The following is a 15998-nucleotide window of genomic DNA, read 5'->3' on the forward strand; positions in this document are numbered from 1 at the left end:
AGAAGTAAATGGAATTGCCTAGGATTACGAGAAAGTAAATGGTGTCATAGGGCTTAGCCCCAGGTCTATTTAGTCTAAAGACAATGTTTTTAGCCACTAGGGTATATGGAAACTCATTCTTATGAGTCCCATGTTTAGGCTAGGAACTTGAATTAGTAGGTGCTTTAAATATATATTTTGATCAGCTTCAAAAACATCCAGTCAGGTTGGATGGAAAGACCTGTTCTGACTTTCTTCTAAGACACAAGTAAAGACAAGCCTGGTTTTTATTCAATTCCATGAGTAAATTATTCACAATAAAGAAGAAAGCTTGATCATTGTCTTCTTCTCCTTTGTTTTCTTGTCCTTTCCCTCCGCCTTCCCTCATTTTTCCTCCTTCTCCTCCATTTCTTCTTCCTCCTCCACTTCCTCCTTCTCCTTCCCCTTCTCCTCCTCCTCCTGCTTCTCCTCCTTCTGCTCTTTCTCCTTCTTCTCATTCTTGTTCTCTTTCTCCTTCTTCTCTTTCTCCTTCTCCTCCTCCTGCTTCTCTTCCTTCTCCTTCTGCTTCTCATTCTTGCTCTCCTTCTCCTTCTTCTATCTCCTTCTCCTTCTCCTTCTCCTCCTTCTCTTTCTCCTCCTTCTCCTTCTCCTCTTTCTCCTTCTCCTTCTTATAACATTAATACTAGGAAGGTCCAGTGCATCTGTGATCTGGAAGACCCTGACAGATCATGTATTGAGAACAGATGCATTAGAGTTCAATTGTTGCAATTTGGTGTGCCAAACTTAAATATTTCCTCTTGTGAGAGCTCAGAGATGCACCATATTGGTGCTGGGAAAATTGGATAGACTCAGGCAGAAGAATGAAACTGCACCCCCATCTCTCACTATATACAAAAATCAACTCTTAAAGGATTAAATATTTAAAGGTAAGACCTGAAACTATAAAAATACTAAAAGCAAATCTAGGGAAAACTCTCCTGGATATTGGTCTAAGCAAAGAATTTATGAATAAGACCTCAAAAGCACAGGAAGCAAAAAACAGGAATAGACAAATCAGATTTAATTAAACAACAAAGTTTCTACACAGCAAAAGAAATAATCAACAGAATGAACAGATAACCTATTGAATGGGAGAAAATATTTGCAAAGTATTTATCCAACAGGAGAACTAATATCCAGAATATGCAAGGAACTCAAAAGGAAAACAGGAAAAAAAACTAATAATCTCATTAAAAAGTAGGCAAAGAATATGATTAGACATTCCTAAAAAGAAGACACACAAATGCCCAACAAGTATCTGAAAAAATTCTGAACACCACTAATCATCAAGGTAATGCAAATAAAAACCACAATGAGCCATCATCTTTCCCCAGTCAGAATGGCTATTATTAAAAAGACAAAAAATAACAGATGCTGGTGAAGATGTAAAGAAAAGGGAACTCTTATACACTGTTGGTGGAAATGTAAACTACTACAGTCACTATGGAAAACAATATAAAGATTTCTCCCAAAAGATGAAAACAGAACTACCATTCCATCCAACTGGGTATCTACCCAAAGGAAAACCAAAGTACCATTCCATCCTACTGCGTATATCTACGCAAAGAAAAATAAATCAATATATCAAAGGGATACATGAATTCACATGTTTATTGCAGCACTGCTCATAATACAAAGATATGGAATCAACCTAAGTCTCTATCAGTGGATGAATAGATAAAGAAAGTCTGCTACATATACACAATGGAATACTACTCAGCCATAAAAAGAATGAAATCCTGTCATTTGCAGCAACATGAATAGAACTGGAGGTCATTCTCTTAAGTGAAATAAGACAGGCATAAAAAGACTAATATTATATGTTCTCGTCTATATGTGGGAATTTAGAAACTTTTTACACATTGAGGTACAGAGTGGAAAAACTGATAACAGACTGGGAAGAGTAAGTGAAGAAAAGAGGGGAGGATTAAGAGAAGTAGGTTAAACGGTGCAAACACACAGTAAGATGGAAGGAATAAGTTCAATGTTTGATAGCAGAGTAGGATGACTATAGTTTAAAAAATGTATTGTACTCAGGTGATGGACATTTATACTCTGACTTGAGTACTATACATTATATACAAATTATATATATGTAAAAATTTCTCATGTACCCCACACACTTTTACAAATAAGAAAAAAGAAAGCAAAAAAGAGAGAAAGAAATGCATCATCTTAATTCACCCCTTCAAGCCCAAGCCTGAGAGGGAGAGAGCAAAGCAGTCTGCTTATCTAGAGCGGCAGAGGGAGAACATCTTTAGTTTCTGGTTCATCTCTTTGATTTTGTAAGGAGAGAATTGGACTGATAATCCAGCATCAGAGGTTCCAATGCTGTTTTCTATCAATAATAATTAAGCACATTGCTAACATTTTTGGACCTCTTTTCAGGATGAGAAAATCAAAAAGTTCCTCCCAGATATAATGTTTTATGATTACAAGTTTAATAAAATAATATTCCACTGCTATTCTTTTCTAAAACAAAGAGGGCCCTTATTTTACCTGGAGTCCCCTGATTCCTGGGTACAAAATCTTAATGGTGAGGGAGGGGTGATCACTCATGTTGTTTTTTTGCTTATGTAGATTTTTCTTTTCCCTGGATTCATTTTCTCCCTAATTAGGGAATAGTCACTTTATAGCATTCCCCAAGGGAATAAGACCTGGTATGCTTTACCATCTGTCACAATTCTGATAGTCAGAAAATAACCACTTGCTAAAGACATAAATGATGGAATTAAGTAAGTTTATGTCCTCTACAGTATAAGGCCCTGTGAAAATCTTAAGTAGCATAGGAGACACACCATTGTCCAGGAGGGGTTTTAGATCTGCTTAGAGGAGCAAACCAACACACATGACACTGAGGACAAAACACAAGAGCGTATAGGTAGGGACAGTGAACTAGGACCTGGAATATATCTGGTGCTGGTTTCCTCTGGCAATTGTATCACATGGTGGGGTCTATTTCATCTGCAAAGGGGTCTGATAAAGATGAACTCATGTGAAGTTCTAACTCACATTTTACTATGATGACTCTACCCTCCCATGGGCCCTCAGCGATGCCGAGAAATTCTACTGCTTTTCCCTCATCCTTGCATGGTCTAATTCTTCTAGAGGACTTATGTATTCTCTTGCTCCTCCAATACCTCTTTTTTCATCTTCAGTTTTGGCTGATGACCTCAGTTTCTATTTCATGGACAAAACAGTAGTAATGAGAAGAAAACTTCTGCCAGCTACCCCAACCATATGTGCAACATCAGTATCCATGCATTCCCCTTTCCCTCCTTGTCCAATAGCTGAGTTCTCCATGCTTCCAAGACCAGCACCTCCCCTGTGCTCCAGATTTCATTGTCTGTCACCTACTTAAGTACATCACTTCATGGATATGTTTCACTCCCCCACTTCTCTCCTGAATCTTCAGCTCTTTCCTCTCTCAACTAGATTATTTCCTGAGCTCACAAACGTACTGTATGTTTATTTAAGATGAGATACGTGTGTGTATCTGTTCATATAGTTCAACTACTTTACCATTTCTCTACCCACTCTATAGCAAATCTCCTTGAGAGTTATTCCAACTCTCAGACAGAAAACCTGTCTCTAATTTATCTCCAATTCAGCGTTCGACCCATTTCTATGAGGATTTCATCGCTTCTAATTCCACTGAATGGGCTCTTGTCAAAATCACTAATGAATTCCATGTTCCTAAATTCAATAATTAATTATCAGACCTCATTTTACTTAACCTATCAGGAGCATTTGACATCTTGTATGATCACATGCTCCTTGTTAAAATCTTCTTTTCACTTGGCTTCCGGGATCTGACATCCTCTTGGTTCTCCTTTCATATAACTGAACATTTCCTTTCTGTCTTCTTTATTTCTTTCTCTGCATCTCTCTGACAGCCATATATTGGAAATATCTCAGAGCTCAGTGCTTGGACATTGTTCCTTCTCTTTGTACAACCATCCAACCTCATGGAGATAGATAGATAGATGGCATATATATTGGATTTGTCAATTTATAGATTACATATATGACATATAAATAGATATGCCATCTATAAATTGACAAATCCACTACATATATGCCATCTATAAATAAATAAATATTCTATGTATATATGTGACATCCATAAATTGACAAATCCAAGGTTTATATCTCTGACTAAACATATCACGTGAATGCTACAGTTTTATATGTGCTGTCTTCTGGATATCATTGTTTGGATATCTAAAAGGTGTTCAAAAATGACTTCCCAGACCCTCTTCCAATTTAATCCTTCTATAGTGTCAGTAAATGGTAACCTCATATCTCATGTTGCTCAGGCCAAAAGCCTTGGAATTATCCTGGGATACCCTCTTTTTCTATACCCCACACTTGAACAAATCTTGTCATTGCCACCATCAGAATATAATCATAATCCTACTATTTTTAATCCCACTGCCCTGTTGTAAGTTACCATCACTGTTTATTACTTGGCTTATTATAATAGCTGCCACAATTCCTCCTTTCTGCCCATTAGTCTATTTTCAACACAGTAGTAAGAGTAAATCTATGAAAACATAAAATACGTTACGTGTGTCTCAGCTCAAAACCCTCTGTTTTATTTTTAATGAACTCAGAATAAATGCCAAAGTTCGTCCCTTCGTGTTCTACTTTCACAATCCTTTTCTGACCTCCCACACAACAGCTTCACTTCTATTGCTCAAACACCGGAAGAAGGCCCCACCTTGGGGCCTTTGCAATTCTCTTCAGCCTGCATTTGCCCTCTTTAGAGAGCTGAATGGCTTAATCTCTCACCCTTCTCAGAGATATTGAAATGCCACCTTATTGAGAACTTCCATTACCTCCATTTGTGAATAATGCACCCTTCCCTTTTCATCCTTATTTATAGTTTGCTGTATGTTTATATGTTTACTACCCGCATGTTCCAACAGAATGAAAGTTCTTTGAAGGCAGGGGCTTTGTTTTCCTTATGGCTAACAATCTCAGTGCCTACAAAAGTGCCTGAGAGCCAGGGGAAACTTAAAAATGTATGTTAAATTAATGAAAGAAAAAATAAATGAAGGAATTTAACTGAGAAGGGGCACTGAACCCTGATAACTACACATTTTTACAGTGTTTTATATGGGTCAGAGAGAAGAGAACAAAACACAGAGACTAGAAATGGAAGGTTTCCTTTAATTTCCCAGCCCCCTCTCTTTATCCTACCCCTTATTTCCTGCCTTTAGTGATATATTTTTACAACTTTTGTTTCAACCATAACTCAAAGAGCCTTTTTTTCTCCTATTTGTAGAGTGAGAAAGCATAAGGAGAAATGAGGCCAATCTGTTCCCAGATATACCCAGGAGACCACATAGTACCAATGTTCTAACAAGGTGGTAGAGCCAAAGAATGCTCTCTTTAACAGAGAAATAGCACAGAACACAATTTTGTGGAGGAGAATTAATAACACAAGTCAATCAATCTACCTCTGAATGAACCTGTAATGCCTTACAGACTTGGCTATTATTCACAGATCCACCCATGACCAACACAGTTTCCAGGGAATATAAATCTGAGGCTGTCATTCAACTTAACAAGCAATGATAGGTTCTTGCATGCAGTAGAAATTTAGCGTTGGATTCCACGGTGGAGGGATGACTGGGCAGGAGAGGTCACTAAACAGATGAGATTCTCATTGCTGTTGCTGAGTAACAGGAAGGTGTGTCAGCCAGGAAAGTAAGACTCTTCGATGGAAGGCCTCACACATCTGACAAGGGTACTTGGCTTGATTCCATAAGCAGTAAACAAGGAGTCACTGTCTTTTCTTAGCTGGGATAGAGGTGGGGAGGTGGTGAAAGCATTGTTTAGAGTGATTGAGAAACTCATCTGTAAACCATATTAGAGTGTAGTCTTTGAACAACCTGCAGCACCACACTAGGATGTACGCTTTTATTGGTCTGGAGTGGACCCAGTAATCTACATTTTAATCAGAATCTCTGTGGGGGTCTGACAATTTGCATTTTTTAAGCCCACCAAGTCAATCTGATGTATGGTATATGTTAAATCAATTTGTTTTTCAAACTGGGTTGCAACCCACTAGGGAGCTAAAAATGAATTTAGTGAAATGCATCGGGCAACGCAAACGAGTGTATACTGTATGATTCCATTTATATACAGTCCATAAATATGCACAACTAATCTATGATAGAAGAAATCAGAATAGTAGTTATCTGGGTAGGGGAGAGGGCTGACTGAAAAGGGTACAGAAACCTTTTGGAGTGTTGGGAATGTTCCATGTATTGTTTGGGTGACGGCAACATAAGTGTATACATTCTCTTCTGCCTGCATTTGCATTCGTTAGAGAATTGGATGGCTCAATCTCTCACCACTTTCAGATCTGTTGAAATGTCATCGTATTGAGGATAAGTTCCATTACCCCCATTTGTGAATAATGCACCTTCTCTTTTCACCTTGATTTGTAGTCTGTTTTTCTGTATATTTATGGTTTACTATCTGCATGTTCTGCTAGAATGTAAGTTCCTTGAAGTCAGGGGATTTGTTTTACTTATGGCTAACAATCTCGGTGCCTACAAAAAAGTGCCTGAGAGCCAGGAGAAACTTAAAAATGTGTGTTAAAACTGATCCAACTGTACACTGAAAATCTATGTACTTTGCTGTGCATAAATTATTCCTCCATAATAGCAAAAGTAGGGAAATGTCAGGACATAACCTGATTTAAGGGTATGGGGAGTGTGTGTGTGTGTGTGTGTGTGTGTGTGTGTGTGTGTTTGTGTGTGTGTGTGTGTGTGTGTGTCTGTGTGTCTGTGTCTACTGGGTCAAGATTACCCAACATGATGGTAAGTATTGCTTATGGGTGTGTGTTTATGTGTGTTTTGGAGCACTGCTCTAGAGGGATATAGTCCAGGAACTAAGGGGCCATTTAATTTATTCTGCCTCCCTCTTGCTTTCTATGGATTGATACTTTGATTTCCTGCTATCAATATTCCTAGTATTTTTTTTCCTGCTTATAAGGTCACTTGAGTTTCTTGGCCATTTTTTTTTTCTTCAAACAACTCCAATTGATCCTAGCTTCTACAAATGTTCATGATGACATACTATTTTGTGTTTTTGATGGATGTGTAGTAAGACTCAGCTATGGAAAGGTTGATCATATTTGTTCAATAGGACAATTGACTGCTTCTGAATGCTTTGCTAAAATGGGTGATAGGTTTACAGAAGATCTGTGGTTATCTCCAATAAACACTGTATTTTCAAGGCAATTAATACACTGCCTATTCAAAGGGAGATGTTCAGAGGTTGTTCAATTCCTGTATGTAGAACTGGAAGAGGAAACACATGGCAACACTGGTAAGCTGAAGAATCAGGCAAAGCCCTTTATGCTTACGCTTGTTTTCTGGCTAACAGAAGCATCTTAAAAACTGTCTTTGCTGTAAATCATCATAAAATCTACCATGTTCAAATTTATTTTGCTAGGGGAGTGGACAGTAAGTACACTATTGTGAACAAAATGGAGTTTTACTCTGACAGTTCTGGATATTGCTGATTTTCTTTTTTTTAAAGTAAATTTTACTGTGTACATTTGAGGTTTACAGTATGTGTTATGGAATACATGTAGGTAGTAAAATAGTTACAACAGTAAAGCAAATTATGCATCTATCATCTCATATAGTTACTTTTTTGTGATAACAATAGCTAAAATCTACTTGACAAAAAACCCTAAGACAATACAATTTTATTAACTATAGTCCATATGTTGTACATTTAGATCTCTAGACTTGTTTATGCCATGTAACTACAACTTTGTATCCTTCGACCTACTAAATATTGTTGATTTTCAAAGTGAATATTCTTTTCGTACAATGAGAATTAAAGATGTTAAAGATGTATCACTCTGGGTAGAAATATTTACTATTTATTCAGGTTTAAAAAAGAGAGTCAAATTGAATTGGAATGAGCTGTGCTGATTATCCAACTTATAGGACTAAGGACTGCTGACTGGTCAGAGCCTTCCTTTCTTCTGCCTTGAAACATTTCTGGGTATATGTCACCTCTAACTTCATATGTTTCCAGGGCAATCTTTTGATCTTCTTTCCCATGAAGTCTAACGTTAACGCTGTGCATAATTTGTATTCTATTTGCTGTGGAGGATTTATATAACACTGGCCCAGTCTTATTTTCATATGGGGATGCTAGTATATAATCCAGTTGAATCTGAAAGGTTTAAACGTTTTAGTGTACACAAGAAAGTCATAGAACTATTGGAGGCATATATTGGTAGGAAAAATAGACAAAGTCTGTCTTTTCTGTCTTTCCTGTTAATGTGAGATATGGGATGCTATTGTGATAAGAGTGGGTGGGACATAGGTGAGAGTGGCTGATTAGAGAACTGAAAGATTACAGAAAAATCCCTTCATGGAAGGAATAATGAGACACCTCATACCCTTGAGCTGGACTAAGCCATTATGTTGCCTTTTCCCATGGTGCTGGCAGGCACCATAAGATCAACAGATTTTCATAAGACATTACAAGAAAAACTGGCTTCTTTTATATTTTTATTTCCCTGAAATCCCAAGGAGTTCATAGTTAAAATTAGAAGTCTATACAAGAAATATACCTATATGGAAGTCTATATGAGACATATACCTGTATAGAAGTCTGTACAGGAAATATACCCCACTCACAGAGGTCTGAGGTCTATTATTTTTAACCCAATTCTCAATGTGCACATTTTGTTTCCTTTGCTTATATCACCTCAAAGTGGAGGTACAAAAACAATAACAGCACACCCCACCCCAAATTAATTAAAATAGCTAAGCAATTGTCTTCTAGTTATTTAAATTTTAGCAAATGATTTTCTTTCTCTGTAGAAGTGTTAGCACAGAAACACCAAGGCTTTGAAAACTAATAAGAACACATTAAGACTTTCAACTTACACCAAAGGAATATCAAATTGCAGAAGAAGGTAGCATCAAGTCTTATGGCAGTGTCTATAATAAGGAGGTGTATACCATTGATGAAACAGACTGACCTATTTGAATTCTTGGTTGCAAGCAAGAGAAGACAACTTTGGTTGTCTAAGCAATAAAATTGCTGAGATACTATAGAATGTTGGGAGCCTGAAAGGCCAAGCTTTAAAAAGAGGTAGAATAAAGAAATAATACAGTTCTGGATGAATACTCTGGCCTGAAAATGATGCATAACATGCTAGATGCATTGGACATAACCACTGCAAAACCTGCTAGACATTGCCTCTACTTCTAGATACTTCCTTCGGGCATGTACCTAACTGCCACTATCAATCACCAACCCCCTCATTCCAGATTTGAATTACTGGGGAGGAAGATGACTATTTACTCTTAGTTCATGAGCTTAGATTCTAGCTGCAAGGGAAGAGGAAGTGATTGTCCACATTTCACTTTTACACTGAGATGTAGAATAATATGCTCTATCTCCCACTCCCTTTCCCTAAATTAGGCACATGGGAAAATTATTCCTCAAAGAAAAACAGAGTTTATTATTATGCAGGAAGAAAATAAAGATAAATTACCAGTACAATGTGTCTAGTAACTGGGAATTTTTAAGTAGAAGTATGAGCAAATACTGTGTATAGTGTCATATTGAGAAAGAAGCTACAAGCCCCTGATCTAATTCTAGGTTTCTATGAGATATGCGAACTTTGATGCCTTTCCAGTATAATTGCTAAGTTATAAGAGAGAAAGTTGGGTGGGTGTGTGTTCTCTATTAGGATGCCTCATGCTGCTTTGTATAATAACTGCTTGAATACAGTCCCACCCCCACCCATTAAGATCTGGTTCTTAATTACAGCACTGTAGGTTTGGCATCTAACCACTAGAGGTCATTCTTTTACATGTGTCATTCAAAATCATGTTAGAGGAGAGACCTGATTATGAGGCAACCTTAGAAGTTTGTTTTCTTTCCAGAAGTTTTAACTATTGCTACACATTGTACTGGGTGTACCTGTGGTTCCCGGGGCTAGGTACAGAATTAATTGTTATGGGATTTGTGCTGCTGTTGAAAAATAAATAAAGGGCTGGTGAGCAAAACTGGCAATCATTTCTACATTCTGTGTAACTTAATTTTCAGCACAGAATTCCTTTCACTTTAAGACCCTTCCGCTGCTCTGTCCAATGTGCATGCGTGCACATGCGCACACACACATATACACACAGGGCATTTCAAAAGTCAAGTGAGGTCCAGGCTAGTTACAATGTTATGGTTACATTAAAACACGGGGAAATAAAGACAGAATGAAGACTACAATGTATTAGACTTAAAACTAATCATATAAAGTATCCCACAAGTTAACATGAAAATGAAATGATTCTGCATGTAATCCCCTTTGGACATGGTGGTAAATAATGTCTACATTTAAGTCTCTTTGTCCAAATAGGGTCAGACACTTGTGGCTCAGCAGCATAGCCCAGCTGCCTAGAATGGGTGGGCCTGTGTGCTTGCACCCTGGTACCTATGTGTACCACCTGCACACATCCGCTCTAGTGCACCAGACTTCATCTCAAGCCTTGAAGGAACTGGCATTTGGCCAACTCCTTTGTAAGGATAAATAAGAGTTAATATAGTCTTCATTTTATAGTGAAAGTTACTTTCTGCCCTTGATAAACATGATCAACAAACATAGTGATTCTATAGCCAGTGGAGTCAGTTAAATACATCGTGGGAGGGAAGAAGCTTCATCTGGTACTATCAAACTCCCTGAATTCCATTTCAGCTTCTCCACATGCCCATTTTTTTTTTTTGAGTCAGTTCACAAGTTTAATTGTGGAATGCTTCACTTGGTTTGATCATGGGGGGAGAATCTATCTGAAGAGTAAAAGGTCCTGATGTTGACAATCTGGGCCACAGACCATCAGCATCTTGTGTCTGAAGAATAAAGCCCCAATCTGATCTCTTGCATTCATTGGGACGGCCATGCTGCACTGCTGTTGTAATTCTTCCCTTGATCTTTTCCATGACACTCAGCATTTAATCCTCTATTCTTCCTTTTCTTTCCTTTCAACATTCTTATTCTTCCCCATCCATTAGTCTTTCTGCTGAGAGAGAAGAGCTTCACAGTCCCTCCCCTATCTCCATCTTATCATGGTATTGTCGGGGACAAAGACAGAGTGGTTAACGCCCAGCAACATTTAAGAGCACAAGGAGAGACTCTTCTGAGCATTTAAATAGGCTCAATTTTCCCAGAACTGCAGAGAAAAGAAATAAAAGATAGTACACAGAGTTCCTGCCTTTTTCTTATTGCTGCCATGGGGATAAAGATCAAAGTCTTTATCTGTGATTATCCATCAGACAAATGCAATAAAATGTCCAATTTGCAGTCAAGGCTAACTCTGTACTGTCTTTCAAAACAAATTCATCTCCTAATCTTCTTGAAAATCTTCCCCCCAAAGCCCATGGGACCTGTGAGAAAGCATCCCTGCCACCAGCAGCTCCGGAATCTATAGATTGTTATTAAATAATGGGTTCCCTCAGGGCAAGGACCTGCCCCTGCCCTAGGCATGCACAGAAACTTAATAAATGGATCAGGAGCATAGGCATTTATGGAATCCACAGGGTGTGCTGGCATGGACTGTTGTGGAAAGAAGGTCTCGACAGCCAACCAACATGCTATGCTCCCTTTAGGATCTTGCTCTAAAGTTGGGGCTCAGGGATAGGGTGGGTCATAGACATATAAATCAATTAGTCAACAATGCAGGAGGCTGGGTGTGGTGGCTCATATCCGTAAGCTCAGCACTTTGGGAGGCCGAGGTGGGCAGATCATTTGAGGTCAGGAGTTCAAGACCAGCCTGACCAACATGGTAAAACCCCATCACAACTAAAAATACAAAAATTAGCCAGGCATGGTGGCGAACACCTGTAGTCCCAGCTACTGGGGAGGCTGAGGCAGGAGAATCGTTTGAACCCAGGAAGCAGAGGTTGCAGTGAGCCGAGATTGCACCATTGCACTCCAGCCTGGGCAACAGAGCGAGACTCCCTCTCAAAAGAAAAAAAATAAATAAAAATAACAATGCAGGGTTAAATAAGGGAGAGTGATGTGTAGGAATGAGACTGTGTCTGAATTATTCAGCTTGGATCCAAGGGCCATAACCTCCCTTCCTTTACAGCGTGCAGTGCAAATGGTTTCACTTATGTGAACAGCCTTCGGAGTAAACATGGGAAATTGCTTGGTGCCCACAGAAGATGATGGGCTACAGGGTAAAGAAGAAAAGACAATGTTCCCCAACATCGTGTGTTAATAAGAAGTAAAAGGTTTGCTGTATATCTGAGAAGGCACAGGAAAAGGAAAGGTTAGAGGCTGTTTTTTTTGCCACATCCTCTCCAGCACCTGTTGAGGCACATATACACCATGGAATACTATGCAGCCATAAAAAAGGATGAGTTCATGTCCTTTGTAGGGACATGGATGAAGCTGGAAACCATCATTCTCGGCAAACTATCACAAGGACAAAAAACCAAACACCACATGTTCTCACTCATAGGTGGGAATTGAACAATGAGAACACTTGGACACAGGAAGGGGAACACCACACCGGGGCCTGTTGTGGGGTTGCGGGAGGGGGGAGGGATAGCATTAGGAGATATACCTAATGTAAATGACGAGTTAATGGGTGCAGCACACCAACATGGCACATGTATACATATGTAACAAACCTGCACGTTGTGCACATGTACCCTAGAACTTAAAGTATAATAATAAATAAAAGTGATAGCAAATAAAAAAATAAAATTTTTTTTTTCAACAGGAATCTTTATTTTCTCTTTATTTACAGTACTCCCTTCAATCCTTTTACATGTCTCTCCTCATTGATTGTAGTGTGTGGGAGCTCCTTGTGTGATGATTGAGCCTGGAGAGAACCTGACATCTGTGAAGCTTTATTAGAGTGGCAGGCAGAGAGAGCCACTATCTGATACCAAGACAATGGGGTCATCTTCCTCCTGGTCCCCTTGTTCTTTTTTTTCCTCTTGGGTTCTTGGGTATCCTACTCTTAGAAAGAGATAGTTTGCCTTACTCCATGTGATAAGCAAATCCAACAGAGTTTGCTTCTGGGGATCCAGGAGGTCATTGCTGTCTTAGTTCCAAATTCTCTGCCTGCCATTCTTGGCTTAAGTCTGGGCTTACTCAAGTTTAGATTAAGGAGGCAAGTGGGAGGACTTGCTGAGTTCTCTGGCCAGCTTTGCCAGGAAGTTAATCCCCATTAGACTCTTCCTTTCTTTTCCCAAGTGGTCACAACACAGCAGGGAGCAGTGGGTGATTTAACTGTGTTTCCACCTCAATGAATCTCTATTGAGATCATAACATGCTTATGCCTGGGACAAAGGCCCAAAGGAAAATTCTTGTCTAGGTTTCATCATTTTCCAAATAAAGAGAGTGAAGTCGATCAATTTTTATTGTAGTAGATTTTGTTATATATATAACAAAATCTCTCATTTAAACTATTTTAAGTGTACAGTTCAGTGACATTACATGCATTCACAATGTTGTGCAACTATCACCGCCATCCATCCTCAGAATGTGTTTATCTTCTGAAACTCTGACCCATTACACAAGCACTCTCCATTTCCTCCTTCCCTCAGCCCTTGGTGGTCACCGTTCTATTTTCTGTCTCTATGAATTTGGCTACTCTAGGTACCATATAAGTGGAATTAAACATTATTTATTCTTTCGTGACTGACTTATTTCGCTTACTGTAATGGCTTGAAGTTTCTCCCATGTTGTAGCATGTGTCAGAATTTCCTTCCTTTTCAAGGCTGAATAATATATACTGATATATATACATATGTATGTATGTATTCATATATCAGTATATATGCAATATATGTATGTATTTATATATCAGTATATATACACACACATACATGTATGTATATGCACACACATACATGTATGTATGTATATACACACACATAATATATAAACACACACATACATACCAACTTATATCAACTCATGCATCAAGGAAAGTGAATGTCAGTCTTTAATGCTAACATTTCCTATTTGTCTGGAGTTCTGTTTATGCCTTTTGTCTCAGCATCATTGTTAACAGCATCACCTCCCACTCTTAAAGTGTTACATTTTGGACAATATATTATATGACAATCCCTTGAAGACAACTCTTCTAGGACCCCTATTCTTTGTAACTGACCTCATGTCCAGTGAAAGCTTAAAGTTTTTCTTCAAACATTCTTATTCACTAAACCTTGCACCAACTAAGCATACATCATTTAAGTGCAAGCAGGGCATGTCAGTGGTGATATTTTCCTGAATGAAGGAAGCAGAGATGATCTTCAGGCAGCTGGATGAATATCTTATAGATATTGCAGTTTATGAAAAAAGACTTCTTTAGGCCTGGTCAAATAGGAGAGCATACCTCACAAGTTTTAGAAGTTGCCAGAAAAGGTACCTGTCAGAAGTGCCTCTAATAGCTGGGAGAAAAGAATGGCAAACTATACAGGGAATGTGCACATGTCTTTCTTCCATGCTATTCTGAAACATCTCCTAAAAGCTGTTAAGGGAAAACGGGTGTCATTTTTGATTCACAGGGACTTTCCCAAATATAATTTGCATCTTTTGTTCACTCCATAAATAAGGGAGGCCATCTGATCATATAGCTGCAGGAAGGTTATTTCAGTGTAACAGATGAGACATGATATATGAGACGTCTAATAGCTGGAGAGACCCAGCATGAGCTGCTGGGATCTTCAGGTTGAAGACCCAGGTTAGAGTCCTCACTGCCACTGGGCATCCTCCCTAAGATTAAAGCTCTGTGTGAAAGGAGAGCTTGTCTAGATTGTTTGCTGCTGTTACCATCTTCACATAAGCAGTGACTTGTCCACGGTAGATGCTCTAATAAATATCAGCGTAATGAATGAGTGAATAACCAACTTTGGGTTCACCACTTAGTTATTCAAAAATCCAGTTGCTTCATCTGTAAAATAAAACCCAGAGAATGAGGCACTGTCACCTTCTTTGCCATTATTTTAGGATTACATAATCCTATTATATATTATATATATTTTGTAAATAAAATATATAATTTATATAATGTATAAGATATAAAATAATATATATTCTAGGATTAAATAATCCTATTATGTATATACATATAATCTTATATGTGTATTATATAATCCTATTATGTATATACATATATAATATATATTATATATAATATAGTATATATAATCCTATATATATATTATATAATCCTATTATATATGTATTTACATATAATCCTGTATAATTCTATTATATATAATAATAATCCCATTATATAATCTTAAAATAATAACAGAGAAGTTGACATTGCTCCATTATCTGGGTTTCATTTTACAGATGAACCAACTGGATTTTTGAGTTTGTCTTCATACGAAGTGTCATTTGACCTTTCCCTATGAGAAGTCTGGAGCAAGGTGAATTGAGACAAGAACTTTCTATATCTTCAATAAAGTTTTATAATTTAAAAAATGCTGGGTAAAAAAATTATCATAATCTAACCATTGTTAAATTTTAATGACTTCTGCTGGATTGTTTCCTCTTATCATTTTAGAACAAAACCACAATTACAGCAACAATCTGTAATACACTTAATTTAAAGAGTCCAATATTTTTACAAATTCTGGCAGGACTGCTAACCATTCACCAAAATTTGTGTCCTCCTATTTTTCCTAGATACACAGCTAGGCTACATTTCCCAGCCTCTGTGGCTGTTAGGAGCAACCCTATGACCGAGTTCTGTCAAGGCAACTGGAGCAGATGTGGTGTGACTTTCTCAGCCCCACCCTTGACAATTCCCCATGCTCTTTGTTCACCTGACAGACTTGGACAGTGATAAACACAGTGACCCCAGATATGAAGTTGAAGGCAGAGTTTCTTCTTCCTTGTTGAGCACATGAAAGACAGCCATATCCACGTAGAGAAACAATCACCTTGGGCTGTTAAATGAGTG

General features: G+C 38.1%; 1 long non-coding RNA gene across 1 annotated transcript in view, besides 1 other annotated feature; it reads right to left on the reverse strand.

Annotated features, from left to right (window-relative positions):
- The window catches only part of LINC02627 (long intergenic non-protein coding RNA 2627), a 146724-nt gene that overhangs the window by 113951 nt on the left and 16775 nt on the right, over positions 1–15998 (reverse strand). The window lies entirely within an intron of this gene.
- Positions 9671–9965: a silencer, noted in NCBI's record as "tiled region #11507; K562 Repressive non-DNase unmatched - State 13:Ctcf". NCBI's record gives its function as "represses a minimal TATA promoter and a strong SV40 promoter by Sharpr-MPRA in K562 cells {active_cell/tissue: K562}" and the evidence as "EXISTENCE:reporter gene assay evidence [ECO:0000049][PMID:27701403]".

Source organism: Homo sapiens, chromosome 10 (assembly GCF_000001405.40).
Source record: "Homo sapiens chromosome 10, GRCh38.p14 Primary Assembly".
In the NCBI taxonomy this organism is placed as follows: Eukaryota; Metazoa; Chordata; class Mammalia; order Primates; family Hominidae; genus Homo; species Homo sapiens.